Source organism: Homo sapiens, chromosome 4, assembly GCF_000001405.40.
Source record: "Homo sapiens chromosome 4, GRCh38.p14 Primary Assembly".
NCBI lineage: Eukaryota > Metazoa > Chordata > Mammalia > Primates > Hominidae > Homo > Homo sapiens.
The window spans coordinates 26,460,695-26,478,624 of record NC_000004.12 but is presented as its reverse complement, the minus strand read 5'-3'; positions in this window follow the sequence as shown (position 1 = coordinate 26,478,624).

The window sequence follows — 17,930 nt, the reverse complement described above, 5'->3', positions numbered from 1 at the left end:
CCCAGTTCCTGTGGAAATCTCATATCATAAGCGTGTAGTAGTGACGAAGCATGTGTGTATTTCTGTGGCTTGTTTACACACGTCTGTGTATGCTTAACCGGCGTTCTCACCATTCAAATCAAATGTAACCTTCATGAGGCTGACAACAACTGTCGAACCTCCACTGTATTTCCTTCCAGTGTTTTGCCCCGTACTCCGCACTTTGTGTGTTCAATAAACGCTGTTACTGACTTCCACTGTGCACCTGCGCTTCCGGCGCCCTCTCTTTCTGTCCACAGCTGTGATTCCCAACAAGGAAAGGCACATTCTTGCGGAGGTGGAGGGGCATGGCAGCAGAATTTCTAGAAGACTTTTTCCAACTCTGGTGTATCCCCATCCAAGATTCTAGGTGTGAACATTTGCTGCCTCCCCTTTTCTTTCCTCCTTGATGTGTGTGTGGGGAGAGGGTGAATGTAATCAAAGTGATGCCGGTGGGCTGGAGGAAGTCCCCAAATGCCGGTGGGGCCTGGAACCCAGTTTGTGTCAAGGCTGTTGACACCATCACAAGAATGAATTCAAGGACAAGTCAGAAAATAGTGAAAGTATTTATTGCAAAGGGAAAAGTACACACTCAAGAAAAGGGGGGCTGGGCGCAGTGGCTCACGCCTGTAATCCCAGCACTTTGGGAGGCCGAGGCAGGTGGATCATGAGGTCAGGAGATCGAGACCATCTTGGCTAACACGGTGAAACCCCGTCTCTACTCAAAATACAAAAAATTAGCCGGGCGCGGTGGCGGGCGCCTGTAATCCCAGCTACTCGGGAGGCTGAGGCAGGAGAATGGCATGAACCCGGGAGGCAGAGTTTGCAGTGAGCCAAGATAGCGCCACTGCAATCTGGCCTGGGCGAAAGAGCGAGACTCTGTCTCAAAAAAAAAGAAAAGAAAAGGGGGGTGTGGGTATACTCAAGAGAGAGACACACAGTGGAGTTTGGGGCTGCTACATCTACTCTATGGGTTTCTTTCTTTCCTTTTTCTTTTTCTTCTTTTTTTTTTTTTTTTTTTTTTTTTGACATGTAGTTTCATTCTCGTAGCCCAGGCTGGAGTGCAATGGTGCTATCTTGGCTCACTGCAACCTCCGCCTCCTGGGGTCAAGCGGTTCTCCTGCCTCAGCCTCCCAAGTAGCTGGAACTACAGGCATCCGCCACCACACCCAGCTAATTTTTGTATTTTTAGTTGAGACGGGGTTTCACCATGTTGGCCAGGCTGGTCTCGAACTCCTGACCTCAGGTGATCTGCCCTCCTCAGCCTCCCAAAGTGCTGAGATTACAGGTGTGAGCCACCGCACCTGGCCAAGGGGTGGAATATTCATGAAGATTCCTGGAAAAAAGGTGGCAATCTCTCACAGCTGTGATGCCACCCATTTTTACACCAAATATGGGTGGTCTCAGAACGGTCATGGCACTGGTGGGTGTGTGTTTAGTATGTTAATGAGTGAATAATGAGGTCCCAGGTGAAATCTAGTCAGATCCAGCACCATGTTGGATGCAGGCAGTCTTAGCCAGCTTGGTCCACACCCCGGTTTTCAGGATCTTATCAGCCTGTAGCCTCTATGGCTGTTTCAACAGTTTCCTTTTGCTAGTCATGGGAAACTGCTGCCTGGAATTTTCTATCCTCCTAAGACAACCCTGTATTATTCCTGTCTCAGAAGATGTCACCAATGGGAGGGTGTTGCACCTGTGAATGATGTGAAGCCACCGATAGAAGAGGGCTGGGAGCCTGTGGTCTATGGTATCCCTCAGCTTGGTGACTCCTGCCCTCATTCCCTTTAAGGAGAACAGTCAAAAACCATCACCACGTGTCTAATCCATACCAAAGTATCCAGTTCACTCCTTAGCAGTGATAAGTGTTATCAAAGCCACGTGGCTCCCTTGGCCCTGCCCTCCCATCCATCTGCTCTCTCACAGGGCCTCTCTGGGGACCTCTGGGAGACTTTCTGGGCCACCTGAACCCATGTTACATCTGCCGACTCCCCGTGGCTGGCTCTCAGCTCCAAGCATGGCACTCCCCTCCCTCTGCCTCTTTGAATTGGATGTTTCTGACTTCTCTGGCTTCCTGGCCCCGCTCAAGTATAACACAGCCTCCTGGTTTCCTAAACCTGATCCCACAAGCCCAGGGCCAGCCCCACAATTCCAAGACGCACGTCAGGTCTTGGAAACCCAGCCCGGGTGGAATTTCAGATCCTCCTTCTTGCCTAAGAAGAGAAGTCAGACAATTACACATTATTCAGCACTTAGCATTGTTCACAGAACATAACATGTGCTCAATAAACATTTCAGGGAATAAGTAGATGAGTGAATGAATGAATACACTTGAATGGCATTGTTCCTTGATGCCAGTTCTTTCCTGGTGTCTTTGGGGAGGGCATGCCTTCCCAACCAAGAGGGCTTTTGTGCAGAGGGTGCAGTAGTGCCTGATAAAGGAGGCAGTTGATTCTGCAATTGCATTCTCTTTCCAATCGTCCTCGCTGTATGTAATGCCTGGTAAATTTTGCTTTTGAGTTCACTGACCATAAAAGCCACTTCTACAAGTAAAGCGGATATACTCTGGACTGGAAATTCTAAAGTCTATATCCCAATCTCAGCAGCTATCACTAACTTACAGTGTGGCTCCAAGCAAGTCGGGCCCTCCCTGGGTATCAATTTCCTCTTGTACATAATGAGGGATGACGGGTTGTGGCTCTGATACTGCGTGACTCACTGGGTCAGAATATGCCACCCTTGGTTGGGTGCAGTAGCTCATGCCTGTAATCTCAGCACTTTGGGAGGCCGAGGCGGGAGGCTCACCTGAGGCAGAGAGTTCGAGAACAGTCTGGGCAACAGAACAAGATCCCATCTCTATGAAAAAATACAAAAATTAGCCGGGCATGTGGCATGCACCTGTAGTCCCAGTTACTTGAGAAACTGAGGTGGGAAGATTGCTTGAGCCTAGGAGGTTGATGCAGCAGTGAGCGAAGATCATGCCACTGTACTCCAGCCTGGATGACAGAGCGAGACCTCATCAAAAAAAAAAAAAAAAAAGAAGAAGAAGAAGAATGTGCTACTCTTTTACTATTCCACACCCTCCCTTAATTACGTTCGCTTCCCATTGACTTTGCAATCAGAGGAGCTCCTTGACACCCAGGCACAGAACCAAGGCTTCCAGGATGAATAAAGAGAAGGGGCCTCAACAGGAGTTTCCAGGCTCCCGGTCCCTTCTAGGTCACAGCTTCCCAGAGCGACCAGTGAAAGGCTCATCTCTGGAACACCAGCTTCATTCTAATTAAGATGTAGGCATAAAAATATGCTCCAGACCAGGCGTGGTGGCTTACGCCTGTAATCCCAGCATTTTGGGAGGCCGAGGTGGGCAGATCATCTGAGGTCAGGAGTTCGAGACCAGCCTGACCAACATGGAGAAACCCTGTCTCTACTAAAAATACAAAATTAGCCTGGCTTGGTGGCACATGCCTGTAATACCAGCTACTCAGGAAGGCTGAGGCAGGAGAATAGCTTGAATCCGGGAGGCAGAGGTTGCAGTGAGCCGAGATCATGCCATTGCACTCCAGCCTGGGCAACAAGAGCGAAACTCCGTCTCAAAAAAAAAAAAAAAATCCACTCTAAAACCAAATGTGGTCTAGGATTGACAGGGGTACCAACATCTATTAAAGCCTGCTTTATATAGGCACTGTGAAAGTCACAAGTGGCAGCAGGTGACAATGAACAGTGGCAGGAGGGAGGAATGAATGACTGTTACATGTGGTGTCTTATTTAATTCTCCAAACAACATGTGTGGGGCATCATTTTCCACATTTCACAGGTGAAGGTATTGAGGCTCTGAGGGGTGGTAACATGTCCAGGGTCAGACAGCTAGTGAATGACAGAGGCAGGGGTGAGCCCCGTCCTCATTCCACCAGGCTGCTGTGGGATTAGCTGGCATCCACCAGCTAAGTAACCAAGAGCTGTCTATTTAGCTTCCTGTAAGGCTTTATAGTTCTGAGGCCACGTGCTGTAGCGGCCCTAAGGAAAAGAAATCCCTGGACTTGTTCTCTTTTCTTCCCTCCCCATGTGGACATTTGGGTCTCTCTCTGAGCTCCCTGGATGCGGAGGATTTGAAAGCTGAATTTTGCACTTGTGTCCTGGATGCTTCCATCTCTACGTTTATTATTAATTTTTTTTAAAAAATTGAAAATTAAAAAAAGGATATCACTCTGTCACCCAGCCTGGAGTGCAATGGCATGATCTTGGCTCACTATAACCTTGAACTCCTGGGTTCAAGCAATCCTCCCATCTCAGCCTCCTCAGTAGCACTACAAGTGTGCGCCACCATGCCCCGCTAATTTTTAAATTATTTGTAGAGACGGGGTCTCGTGATGTTGCTGAGGCCCATCTTGAACTCCTGGTCCCAAGCGATCCTCCTGCCTTGGCCTCCCAATGCACTGGGATCACAGGCATGAACCACCGCACCCAGGCCCCTGTGCTTATCTTTAGAAGGAAGATAATATACTTCGCCATCTCGTGGAAGCCAAGTGATAGTAACAGTAAATGAACTTTCAGCAAATTATCAGCATTATTAAGGTAGATCTGTTTTCTCAGAATCATTAGAAAGGAGACAAATACAGTCCAACTGACCCACCAGCCTGCAATAAAAAGCTTCCTGGTTTTCCCCTTCACCTGTTACTTTTTGAGCAAGTCTGCCCTTCCCTAGTGAAACGTGCAAGTTACTGTTACCCACAGGGCATAGCTGGGACATTCAATGTCCCCCACAACTTCAAACTCACCATATCTAAAATGGAGCTAGTTGTCATATCCCATATCACTTCTCTTCCTGATTCTCTCTAACTATGAATGGTACCCCAGCCTCCCAGGTTCATAGACTCAAAATCTAGCTCATCTTTTGCAAGGCGGTGAAGACAAGGAAGGGGTGAAGAACCTTGTCTTTGGAGTCAGAAAGACTGGAATTCATTTCCTAGGCTCGGCTATGTAGGGAATAGCAGGCAAATGGCTCAGCCCCCAAGTCTTAGATTCTTCATCCATAGTACTCACCTTACAGGGTTTTTAAATTTTTATTTTATTGTGTTTCCAACTTTTATTTTAGATTCAGGAGGTACAGATGCAGGTTTGTTACCTGGGTATATTGCACGTTGCTGAGGTTTAGGGTATGAATGATCCCATCATCCAGGTACTGAGCATAGTACCTAATGGTCAGTTTTTCCACCTTCGTCCCCTTCTCTCCCTCCCCCTTCCAGTAGTCCCCGGTGACTAGTGTTGCCATCTTTATGTCCACTAGTACACAGTGTTTAGCTCCCACTTATAAGTGAGAACATGCATTACCTGGTGATCTGTTTCTGCATTGATTTGCTTAGGATAATGGCCTCTAGCTGCATCTAAGTTGCTGCAAAGGATATGATTTCATTCCTTTTTATGGCTGCATAATATTCCATGATGTATATATGCCACATTTTCTTCATCCAATCCACCACTGATGGGCACCTAGGTTGATTCCTTGTCTTTGCTATTGTGAATAGTGCTACAATGAACATGTGAGTGCATGTCTTTTTGGCAGAACAATTTATTTTCTTTTGGATGTATACCCAGTAATGAGATTGTTGGGTTGAATGGTAGTTCTGTTTTAAGTTCTTTGAGAAATCTTCAAACTGCTTTCCACAGTAGCTGAACTGTTTACATTCCCACTGACAGTGTATAAACATTCCTTATAGGGTTTTTGTGATAATTAAGTGATATTAAATCATATTAAAAGATTTTAATGATATTAAATTTAAAAGGGATACTGAAGGGGTTCTAGACTCAGGTTGTGGCTATAGACAGAGAAAGACAAGTTGTCCAACATTCCAAAGAGTGGGACAAGATGCGAGCCCATGATTTGCTAAGAGATCATGAAATTTGTCCTTCAACACGTACCCCTTCACTTTTCTCCTGGCCCTACAAATATAAAGGGGAGAAAGAGAGAGAATTTCTTTGACAAGTGTTGTCAACTGAATGGGCAGGGAATTCTGTGCCATTTTCCTTTTCCTTCACCATGAAACCACACCTTTCAAACCTTGCATCTAGAAACATTTGCAAAGGGTGGTGTTTTTGTCATAGGGAAAATTGACCCTTCCTCTCATGGGATCTCAATTTGGGAACATAGTTCCAAGGGAACTTGCGTCTCCTGGATTCAGGGTTTGTTTCTGGTGTCTAGTGTTGTGAAGTGTTAAGAAAGAGCCTGACTGGAGCGAGGTTTCCAAGGATAGAGAGTGTCTTAGTTAGTTAGGGTTTCTATAACAAAAATATAGACTCGGTGGCTTAAACATTAGAAATTTATTCCTCACAGTTCTGAAGACTGGGACTTCCAAGATCAAGCTGCCAGCCAATTCAGTCCCTGGCGAGGCCCCTCTTCCTGGCTTGCAAAAGGATAGCTTCTTGCTGTGTCTTCACATGGTGGAGACAGGAATCATCTCTCTAGTGTCTCTTCTTATAAGGGCACTGGTCCCATTCATGGGACTCCACCCTCATGACTCAATTACCTTTGAAAGGCCTCCAGAGACCATGAAATTGTGGATTAGGGTTTCAACATATGAATTTGGGAGGGGACACAAGCATTCAGTTCACAGAAGAGAGGCAAAGAGGGATGGCTCCATTGATCCAGGAGACATCATAGGAAGTAGCCAGGCCTGGTCACCCTGGGGCAGAAGGAAGCCACATGGGCTATTCTGCTAGAGCAGGAGCTGACCAGGGAATGCGTCTTCACACCAGAACATGATGCAGTATTGGAGGTCTTCACAGAATGTGTGTGCATGGGAGAGTGGTCTCTGGAAAGCCACAAAGTTGCCCCAAAAGAGAAGGGCTCAGCATTTGCCAAAGGTCCTTTGACCATTGAAGAATTACAAATGACACCACTTTTGCCCCTTTACCACTGACCTCTCCTTCCATCCTCAAGAGGAAGAAATAGAACAAGGAAGAGAGAGAGAGAGAGAGAGAGAGAGAGAGAGAGAAAAGACTACTAGCTTCTTCTCATTGCAGATGCCTTGCCTGGACTTGTCTGATTTAGAGGAAAAGAGAGAGGCTTCAAACTGAATGTGAGATGAAAGTTTGGATTTGTATCATACTAAATACCTGAAGATGAAGTTGTCCTGATGAAATAGGCAGGAAAGATTTGGGGAAAGCTATCGGTTGGGCAGAGATATCATGTCAGGGGCAGAATATCTAACAGAGAGGGAATGAAGACAGAGGTAGAAGAAAAACAAAGCTGTTTCTTGATTGTTCCACACCTTTCAATAAACTAATTACATGTGAAGAGTGTCTGACAAACAGTAGGTGCTTAATGAGTGATAGCCATTGTAAATGATGTCTAAGTCACTAATTTCAGTTATTAACCTGGTCCAGCTGGTCTTTTTTATTTTTATTGAGAGCACTGTAAATCAGAATTAACTTTGTTACTTATAACCCAAAATGTCACAGTTGCTGACCAGTTGGCCTCTCCCCCTCCCAATTCTCTCTCTCCTCCACTTGACCCCACCCTCTGGTAACAGACTGGCCTTACCAATATGAGGTTTGGATCATTTTTCTCCCTGCCCAGTGGCTCCCCAGTGCTTAGTGGTTCGATTTCCTTAGCCTGGCATCCAGGTCCCCAGCAAGCAAGAGTCAATCTCCCTTCCCTATCAGTCAATTTCCTCTTCTTTTCAGAACAGAATTATTTGCTGTTCCCAAGCACTTCCTTGCATGCATGCCTCCCTCAATTTGGGGCACTCTCCTCTCTTTAGCACTTCCTGATAAAATCTTATTCTTCACAGCTCTGCTCACCTGTTAACTTCCCCATAAAACCTCCAAAATTCTCTATCAGAAAAGATGTCTGTTTTTTCTGAGCTCTCATAATGCTGTCTTTGTATATTTCTTGTCACCTAACAACAGCTCAGTCCCCCCACCCTACTCCTTATTTCTTGCTCATGAACTCCATAATGGTACAGTACAGGTATTGACAGTTGCTATGGTTTGAATGTGTTCCCCAAAAAGCATGTGTTGAAAACTTAATCCTCAATGCTGCAGTGTTGGTAGGTGGGGCCTAATGGGAGTGCTTGGGTCATGGGACCACTGCCCTCACAAATGGATTAGTGCCATTATTTCAGGAGTGGGCTCCTTATAAAAGGACAAGTTTGGCCCCCTCTTGCTCGCTCTCTCTCTCACCCTCTCTTTGCCCTTCCGACATGTTATAACTCAGCAAGAAGGCCCTTACCAGATGCAGGCCCCTCGGTATTAGACTTCCCAGTCTCCAAAATTGTGAGCCAATACATTTTTGTTTATTATAAATTACCTAGTCTCAGGTATGCTGTTATAGCAGTACAAAACAGACTGAGACAATGGCATTATGTTTAGAGAAAAAGAGCCTACGTCCAGGAGATAAATCATGATAAATCTGTGCCAGACATGATAATCTTATTCCCTTTTGCTAGTTATTGGTTGAGAGGTAGGTTTGTGTCCCAGTCTGGCCAGGGATGCTTAACAACTTGCTCTCTAATTGAAAAAGAAAAAAAAAATTCTAATTTATAGCTAGTTTGCTGATTTCTATTGTATAAATACTATCACAGACAATTTCAAGTCACCAGCATGGCCTCATTGAACAGGGAGCTGGGAGAGACGTGCTGTAGCCCATTATTTTATAGTATTTCCACCACGCAGATGCAAGAAACATAAATAACAAGAGCATAGATGATAGCTACCTGTAGTAAAATAATTAAAAAAGTGATGCTGATATACTTTGGATATTTGTCCTGGCCCAAATCTCATACTGAAATGTAACCCTCGATGCCGGAAGTGGGGCCTGGTGGAAGGCGATTGGCTCATGGGTGAGGATTTCTCATAAATGGTTTAGCGCCATCCCCGTGGTGCTATCCTCATAATAGTGAGTGAATCCTCACAATATCTGGTCATTTAAAAGTGTGAGGCACCTACTTCTCCTCTCTCCCTCTTGCTCCTGCTTTTGCCTGTACAGCCCGCAGAACTGTGAACCAATTAAAATTCTTTTCCTTATAAATTACCCAGTCTCAGATATTCCTTTATAGAAAAGCAAGAGTGGCCTAATATGGATGCATTTTGAGTATCAACTACCAAGTTTTCTGGAAAGTTAACAACTGGCCCTTACAAGCCAATACAAGCCAACCCTAAAACACCACTGGCTCTAGCCAATGAAATGTAAGAACTCTGCTTGAGGTTTCTGGGTTTATTCATCAGTGTTTGTTGCCTTGTGCTTCAATAACAAGCAACCCCCAAATCTAGCACAGAACATCGTACATGAAGGTGTCATGATGGCCTCGTGCACACCCATGCACAGAGAGACAATCGTGTGAACAGGCAGCAAGAGAGCGGCCAACTGCAAGCCAAGGAGAGGGCCCTTACCAGAAACCAACCCTGCTGACACCTTGATCTTGGATTTCCAGCCTCCAGAACTGTGAGATAATACATTTCTGTTGTTTAAGCCACCCACAAATATGCCTCTGCTCCCTGAAGGATGCAGGGTTCAAAAGTCCACTCATTCCAAAGGCCCAGAACCAGCCCAAGATGGTCAGAGAAGATGGAACCTTACTAATGCCCCTTACATGGCACTAGCAGGAACCACTGAAAACTTGAGCCAAGTCCTCACATCTGTTCTTTGACCTCTTCTTCATCAACTGCTTCTGTCTTTCTCTCCTGTTCTCTAATTTCAATGACTTTCCTCAAGCACAGAGGCAGCAGCTGCAACAAGAGTACAGCCAGTTGAGGCAAATATACAAGGTGGGCAAGAGAGAACACAAATGGCTAAGGGACTTTTAGCCCAGCTGAAAAATTCTCCAGGGGTGGAGCAAACAGATCCCAAGACCTAATTCTGCAGGTGTTTTCTTGGGCACCTTCCAGGTGTAAGGTTGCCAGATAAAATACAAAACGCCATTTCAATTTGAATTTCAGATAAATGGTGAATAATGTCTTAGTATAAGCATGTCTTGGGCAATGTTGTATTTTTATTTGTGTACTCGGGCAACCCTAACCAGGGGCTGTCAATGGGGTGGGTGTAAGGCAGCAGAGAAGAAAGACCGAGAGATGAGAAATTACATATGAATGAGGGCTGCACTACAGCTGCGCATGCAAAGGACACGACCGGGGTGGTCACATAAAAGGCACTGCGCCCATCTGGAAGGAAAGAAAGGAGTGCCTCTGACCAATGAGTCTCTGTCACCTTCCCAGACTTCTGGCCCTCATTTGGAGCCAAGTCCAAGAATCCTAGCTATGGCGTTTTCCTATGGCTGCTGTAGCAAATGACCACAAACTTAGTGGCTTAAACAGATTCGTGATCTTGTAGTTCAGAAGTCTGAAATGGGTTCCAGTGGGCTAACCTCAGGATGCCAGTAGGACTGCATTTCTTCTAGGAATTCTAGGGGAGCATCCATTTCTTACCTCTCTCAGTTTCCTGAGGCTTCCTTCAGGATCCTTGACTTGTGACCTCTTCTTTCATCTTCAAGGCCAGCATCAGCACAGCATCTTCAAATCTCTCTCTCTCCCTCCCCCTCCCTTCCCATTCCTCTCCCTCCTCCCCTTCTCTCTCTCCTCCTTCTCCTCTACACCTTCTCCTCCTCTTCCCGCTTTCTTCTTCTTCTTCTTCCTCTTTCTTCTTCTTCTTCCTCTTCCTCTTCTCCTTCTCCTTCCCCTTCCCCTCCTTCTCCTTCCTCTTCCCCTCCTTCTTCTTCTTCCCCTCCTCCTCCTCTTCCTCCTCCTCCTTCTTCTTCTTCTTCTTCCTTCTCCTTCTTCTTCTTTTTCTTTTTCTTCTTCTTCTTCTCCTCCTCCTTCTCCTTCTCCTCCTCCTTCTCCTTCTTTCCTTCCTTCCTTCCCTTCTTCCTTCCTTCCTTCCTATTCTTCTTTTCTCTCTCTCTGTGCTTCCACCTACCCATCTCCCTCTCTGACTCTGACTCTCCTGCCTCCCTTCTATAAGGACCTTTGTGATCGGCGACATTAGCCTTCCTGGAGAATGGTAACAGTGGCAGGTTCCAGGGATTAGGGTGTGGTTATCTTTGGCAGGGGGGTGCATTATTCTATCTTCCAACATTGTTTCTCTCCTGTGACATTTTCGACCTGTCAAAGCTACTGTTACGAAAAAACAGTTTGACCAGGGTCCATGGCTCCTAGATATATACAAAGACAGTGCCAGCAAATCCAGGTTCTGAGTTTGGTGAGTATTATTAACCTCATTTTATAGTTGAGACTTCAAGAGATCAAGAAGCCTGCCCAGAGTCACATCCCTGGTGAGGGCAGAGCAAGAATTTACACCTTTGGAACACACGTATTCATTGTCCCCAGCCCCAGAAGAGGGTCAAGTGAGCAAGGCTCAGGACTGGGACTCACCAAAGGCTATACCCTTGCAGGGATCTGAGTCCCCTCTAAGGAACTGGGCAGGTACCTAGGTCTGGACTCTTCTGGCAAATTCTTTGAAGTGCAAGAAGTGCTGCCAAACAGGAAACAATTTACTGTGGAGTGGGCACATGGGAAGCCTGAGTGAATGGGGCCGACAGGCTCGAGTGATGATGCAGCCTCCACCTGTGCCTATAGGTGGAAAGTACGATCCTCAGCCTCACACCCGCAGACACACGGTTTGGCATTTGCCATTCTTAACTCCCAGATGCACCCTGCCCAATGAAAATGAAGGTCTTTATAATTAGATAAATAGCACTACTTCCCCAGACCAAAGCAATATTGCAAGGACTCCCTGGTAAAAGTTACAAAAGAAAACTAGCATTCTCAAACATGAATGTGCAGAGAGATCATGGGAAGGGTTTATTTGAAATTCAGATGCTGGGCCTCATCCCTAGGGCCTGGTGTGGGGCTGAGGAATATGCATGATTAGCAAGCTTCCAGCTGACGTGGATGCGGGTGGTTCAGGGGTGCACTTTCAGAATTCCTGTTCTGGAACTTCCTCAGCAGTTTTTTGTTTGCCTGTTTTTTGTTTTTTGTTTTGTTTTTGAGACAGAGTCTTGCTCTGTCGCCCACGCTGGAGTGCAGTGGCACGATCTCAGCTCATGGCAGCCTCTGCCTCCTGGGTTCAAGCGATTCTCCTGCCTCAGCCTCCCAAGTAGCTGGGATTACAGGCGTGCACCACCATGCCTGACTAATTTTTGTATTTTTAATAGAGACGGGGTTTCACCATGTTGGCCAGGCTAGTCTCGAACTCCTGGCTTCAGGTCATCCACCCGCCTCAGCCTCCCAAAGTGCTGGGATTACAGGCATGAGCCACTGCACCCCGCCTCTTCAGCAGGTTTGACTCCCTGTTTCCCAAGAGGAGGATTTATGGGGCTGTGGATCTCACTACCACTCCCTGCCTATGAGCCACTGGAGGGGCCCCCGAGTCACAGGCTGGGACTGACCCAGGACTGCAGTGGTCCAAGGGCAGGGAAGGAGTATCAGCCTTCCTATTCCATAAACATTATGGGACAGATGAGGAATGCTGGCATTGCCCGGGAGACAGGTGACATGGATTTGGGGGGACACAAGGTGTATGATGTCACCCACATTCTCAGCACCAGCCTCTGACTCTCCTCTCAGGCTGGACTCAAGAGGCCCATGGCCAAACCACCGAGACCTGCTTAGTAATGGCGGGGTGGCTGGGGAGAGCAAACCACAAGCTGAGGCCCTATCCTTGCTAATTTAGAGAGTGTTCCCGTGGTGAAAAGGGGACAGGTAGCATTACAGGGAGGACTCCAGAGCCAGACTAGCAAGTTCACTCCCAGATTCTTACCCTTGCTGGCTGTGAGCCCTTCGACAAGTTAATAACCTCTCTGTGTCTCCATTTGATTGTCTGTGAAGTTGGGGGAGGAGAGCAGTGTCTATTTCAAAGGGAATTGCAGAGAATGAATGGCGTCATCTTTTCAAAAAGGACTTACCATACCAACGGTGCTCAAAAATGTTAGCTAACGGGCCAGGCACAGTGGCTCACGAGTCCCTACTAAAAATACAAAAATCGGCCAGGCGTGGTGGCACGCACCTGTAATCCCAGCTACTCAGGAGGCTGAGATAGGAGAATTACTTGAACCCAGGAGGCAGAGGTTGCAGTGAGCCAAGATCGCTCCACTGCACTCCAGCCTGGGCGACAGCGCGAGATTCTGTCTCAAAAAAAAAATAAATAAGTTAGCTAACTAAAATTACTAGTCAATGAGACAAGACATGGTTGGATGGTTGGAATTGTCAATTTTGCTTCTGGCAAGCCCATGAAGAGGAACGCGGCACAGAGGAGATGCTCAATAAATATTTCTTGAATTTTGCAGAGAGTGTTGTTAGAGTTTTGCAGTGCATGGATTTGCACCTGCGCCCCGCTGGTCTGTGTGCTCGTAAAACTTCCTTGCATGTTCTTCCTGTCTCCCCGCTTAGGTCCAAAGCTGGAAGAGCTGGTTCACTGACTTTTGATCTTCTCCATGGTCCTCAGCCCAGGGTTTGCCCAGGGTGAGTCCCAATGTCACGGACCAGCCCCTAGACATCACTTGAACAAAAGCCAGATAGAGGTAGATCCCATAAGACAGTTACATCATTTCCCCTAAACCTTCCTCTCCTTCTTTGAAAGTGGGCTTCCAGGGTTTCCTTCCCTATAAAAGTGGAAACTCAGTGTTGCTGATTCCTCACTCGGAGACTCCTTCGCTACCCTAAATACTCTACCGGTAAACACATGGGGCCCTCCCCTCCTTTCTTACTCAGTCCCCAAAGGGCACCAGGCTGGATCTGCTGTTGGAGAAGAAGGGAGGTGACGGGAAGCCTGTTTCTGCTTCTCACAGGCATTGAGCAGGGCAGGTATCCAGGCCGCCCACGTCTCTCCCACTGAGTGAATTTGCACAACGTGAGCTGGGTCCTGCCGATTCACTGGGGGCGAGGACTGCTCTTGCCCGCTGTAATCGGGAGCCAGCACCACCCGGGGAAGCAGAAAGCCACTGCCATGCCTCACAGCCCTTTAGGGTTCCCATTCCTCCTGTTTACCTAAGTGGGTGCCTATGAACCCAGCTGCCTGCAAATTGCAAGATCAAAGCCAAAGGTGAGAGGCACTGCGCATGTGCGCTGCAGGGCAAACAGGAAAATATGTTTAGGTTTTGCTGTTGTCAGTTTTGATCTGTCAATTTCTGATTTTTAGCTTGGCAGTAACAAAATACACTTATTAACTATGAAAATAACCTTTCTATTGAATTTCCTGCAGGGAAAGGAAAATCTCATTAAGGTGAGTCTGAAACTCTAGCTCCCAGGTCCCTGAACCCTTGTTTGTTTAAGGGGATTTTTGAAAAATTCCAGTACACTGAGCGACAGCTAGGTTTTCTATGGGGGTGGGGGGTGGCCCTCAGTATTCAAACGAAGAATATAAAGGTCCAGAGAGGGAAAGGGAATCTGAACCGTTTTAGGCCAAGGAAGTAGAGTAAGTGGGACCTGGTGTCCTAGAGTTCAAAGTGAGTAGTGGAAATAGAGGAGCATTTAGGAGAGAGGAGTTATTTGCAGAATAAAATTATAGTGCATTGACAGGGTGGTGGGGGCAACATGATGTAAAGACCCTCGACCTTAGTTAAGGTTCAATGTCCTAATTCTGTGAGGACCCAAGGAAACTAAAAGGGATGAATGCAATGCAAGATACATTGTGAGATTGGTAAAGGTGGCCTTTGATATGCAGGCTGCCTGTGGAAGATTCAATTATTGCTCAGCAAACATCACCACTAGTACCTCCATGGGAAGCATACACTTCCCTCTCCCAGCTATATTGGGATTCACTGTGTGACTTGCTTTGGCCAAAAGAATGGGGGTCCGAAGTGACAGTGGGCAAGTTTTAAGCCTAGGACTGAAGAGACATGAGTGGAAACACTCAGTATGAAGCTGGTCCAAGAAGGACAAGAGAGACCCAGGGCCAGATCAGGTTCTTATCTGCAGCTTGGAGCCAAGCCTAAAACAGATGAGGCTTGAACCCAAGTTGACCAATGGCCACATGAGGGAAAAATAAATGCTCAATGTGTGTCACTGAGTCTGGATGTTTTTGTTACACAGCATTACTGTAGTGGTAGCTGACTGATACACTGTCCTTTATTTCCTACCACCTCTCTCTACATGTCTCCCTATCTTTCTCGTCTGCCTTCTCCCTACCAAAACTTTTCAACCTAAAAGTCTGGGGTTGAGCTTTCACTTCTTAGACTGAATTTCAGTTACAGACTTTCTCCTCCCAAACGTATGTGTTTTTCAAGTCTTGTCTCTTTGCAAAAAGAAAGACTTTGCTATTAGGATTTGAGAAATCAGCAGTCTCATGAGAACGACATTTACAAGCTGAGGACATTTTCTAGGGTATCCTGGTTTCGTACTCCTAGCAGCCTAGAGTGAGGCAGACCCCAGCATAGAGCTCATTTTTCAGGAAGGCTCAAAATCCTGCAAGAAGGGCTTAGCAAAAGCCATGCATCTGTTTCATTCTATCATTTGCTCAGGGAAAGTTGAAGCCTGTTGGCAATTCTAGCTGGGCTTATGAGGACTTCTCTTCCTCTTCACCCCTCCCTCAAAGTTTGGCCAGATCCGCAGTCCAAATGGCAGTATGTGTTCAAGAAGATGATTAATGTGAGCAGAAGGTTCCAGGAAATCTCTCAGGGCCCTTCTGTTTATTAAATATAAAAACTCATGTTTAAATATAATGTCAAAGGTATGACACACACCAACACGATCCAAGACAGACTGTTGGCTTTAACATTCAATAACTAGAGGTTCTTCAAGTTTTGACTTCTGAGCTTAAAGTCTCTTAAAGATTTTCCAGGAAGGCTCAAACTACTCAAGGAAGAAGTCAGCAGAGGCCAGCGAAGTCCATACATTTGTTTCCATCATCTGTACTTAATGGCAGAAGCTGTGGCTTTTGGGTTGGGGGACAGTGTCTAATTGAGTCAATGTCATGCACTGTATCAGGAAGCCATTCCCTGACAGCCTGGCCTGAGCTAGAGAACACAACTGCATTCTCCCATAGCACCCCAACTTCTCATGTCTATTCATTCATTCCTGTAGGACATAGTTCTTGAGAACCTACTATATACCAGACCCAGCTCCAGGAACTGGAAATGCATGGGTTACAAGACAATGCCCAGGTCTCCTGGTTTAGATTCTAGAGGTGGAGAGACAGACAGCACACAAATAAACACACAGGTGGTTTGATCACAAGGACTATGAAGAAAATGTAACAGTGTGGTGTGGTACACTTGAATGGAAGAGGGTGTGCCACAGGTAGGCAGGGTGGGTAGGGAATAACAGTGACAGAAGTTTCTATGCTGCTTACGCTTTGACACACACCATTCTAAGAACTTCATGTATATTAACTCACTTAATCCTCACAGCGACCCTACGGAGTAGAAGCTGTTACTGCCCCTTTTACAGGTGAGAAAAGTGATACCTAGAGAAGTGAAGTAACCTGCCCTGCTTCACACAGCTGAAAAGCAGAAGAGCTGGAAGGCAGGCCCAGGTATTGGCACCACGAGTCACGCTGTCACCCGCTACCCCACACACTGCCTCACAGAGCAGGTGAGGTTGGAGTGCAGGAATGGGCCAGCCTCATAAAGAGCTGGGGAAGAATATTCTAGACAAAACAGAAAGCGAGGAAATCATTGCAGTCCTTTAGGCAAGAGATGAGGGAGACAAGGACCAGACGGCAGCAATGGACACGGTGATAAGTGGAAGGTTTCAGATCTGTTTTCGCTCTGTGGTGGCATTTCTTATTTAAATACCCACGTTTCCTGATAAGCTGGTAGCTCCACAAGGGCCAATGCCTCATCTATTCTGCTCATCTTATGTCCCCAGTGCCTGCTATAGCATTTAGTTCATAGATTTTTTTTTATAGAGATGGCGTCTTGCTACATTGGCCAGGTTGATGCTTGAACTCTTGGCCTCAAGCAATCTTCCTACCTTGGCCTCCCAAAGTGTTGGGATTACAGGCATGAGCCGCCCCCCTACACAACCTACAGATTTTTAAATAATTCGGTATAGAGTAAGTAATTAGATAAGTAAGTAATTAATGAGCATTAGGCCAGCCTGACGTTGGTTCGAATCCCAAATCCTTCACCTCCTTCACCTGTTTACTGTTCAACTCAGGCAAATTACTTAAGCTCTCTGATCCTCTTTTGATTGTATCTATGATGGGGATAATAAGGCAATCACAGGGTTGAGTGTGGAGAGGATTAAATGAGATAGCTTTTGTAAAGGGTTAATAGCAAGGCAGTCACAAGACAGATGCCTACAGAAATGTTGACATCCAACATTCTTTCCCTACTACATAGAAAACCAGAGTCATTTCAGTGACATGAATCGTTGTAGAATCGAGAGCTGAAAGGGAATCAAAGCCCCTATTACTCAGTATGGTCCAAGGACCAGCCCCATCATGTTAGAAATAAAGAAACTCAGAGGCCCGGTGCAGTGGCTCACACTTGTCATCCCAGCACTTCGGGAGGCCGAGGCAGGCAGATCACAGGAGGCCAGGAGTTCGAGACCAGCCTGGGCAACGTGGCAAAACCCCATCTCTACTAAAAATACAAAAATTAACTGGGTGTGGTGGTGTGTGCCTGTAATCCCAGCTACTCAGGAGGCTGAGGCAGGAGAATCACTTGAATCTGGGAGGTGGAGGTGGAGGTTACAGTGAGCCAAGATAGTGACACTGCTCTCCAGCCTGGGCAACAGAGCAACACCCTGTCTTGAAGGGAAAAAAATAAATTAAAAAAAAGAAATAAAGAAAGTCAAGCTCCACCCCAGACCACTAAAGCAGAACTTCTGGGGGAAAGGCCTGGTTATCTGTATATGTAGTCAGCACCACCACCTTTCCCAAGGGATTTTTTTTTTTTTTTGAGATGGAGTCTCCCTCTGTCACCCAGGCTGCAGTGCAGTGGCACGATCTTGGCTCACTGCAACCTCAGCCTCCAGGGTTCAAG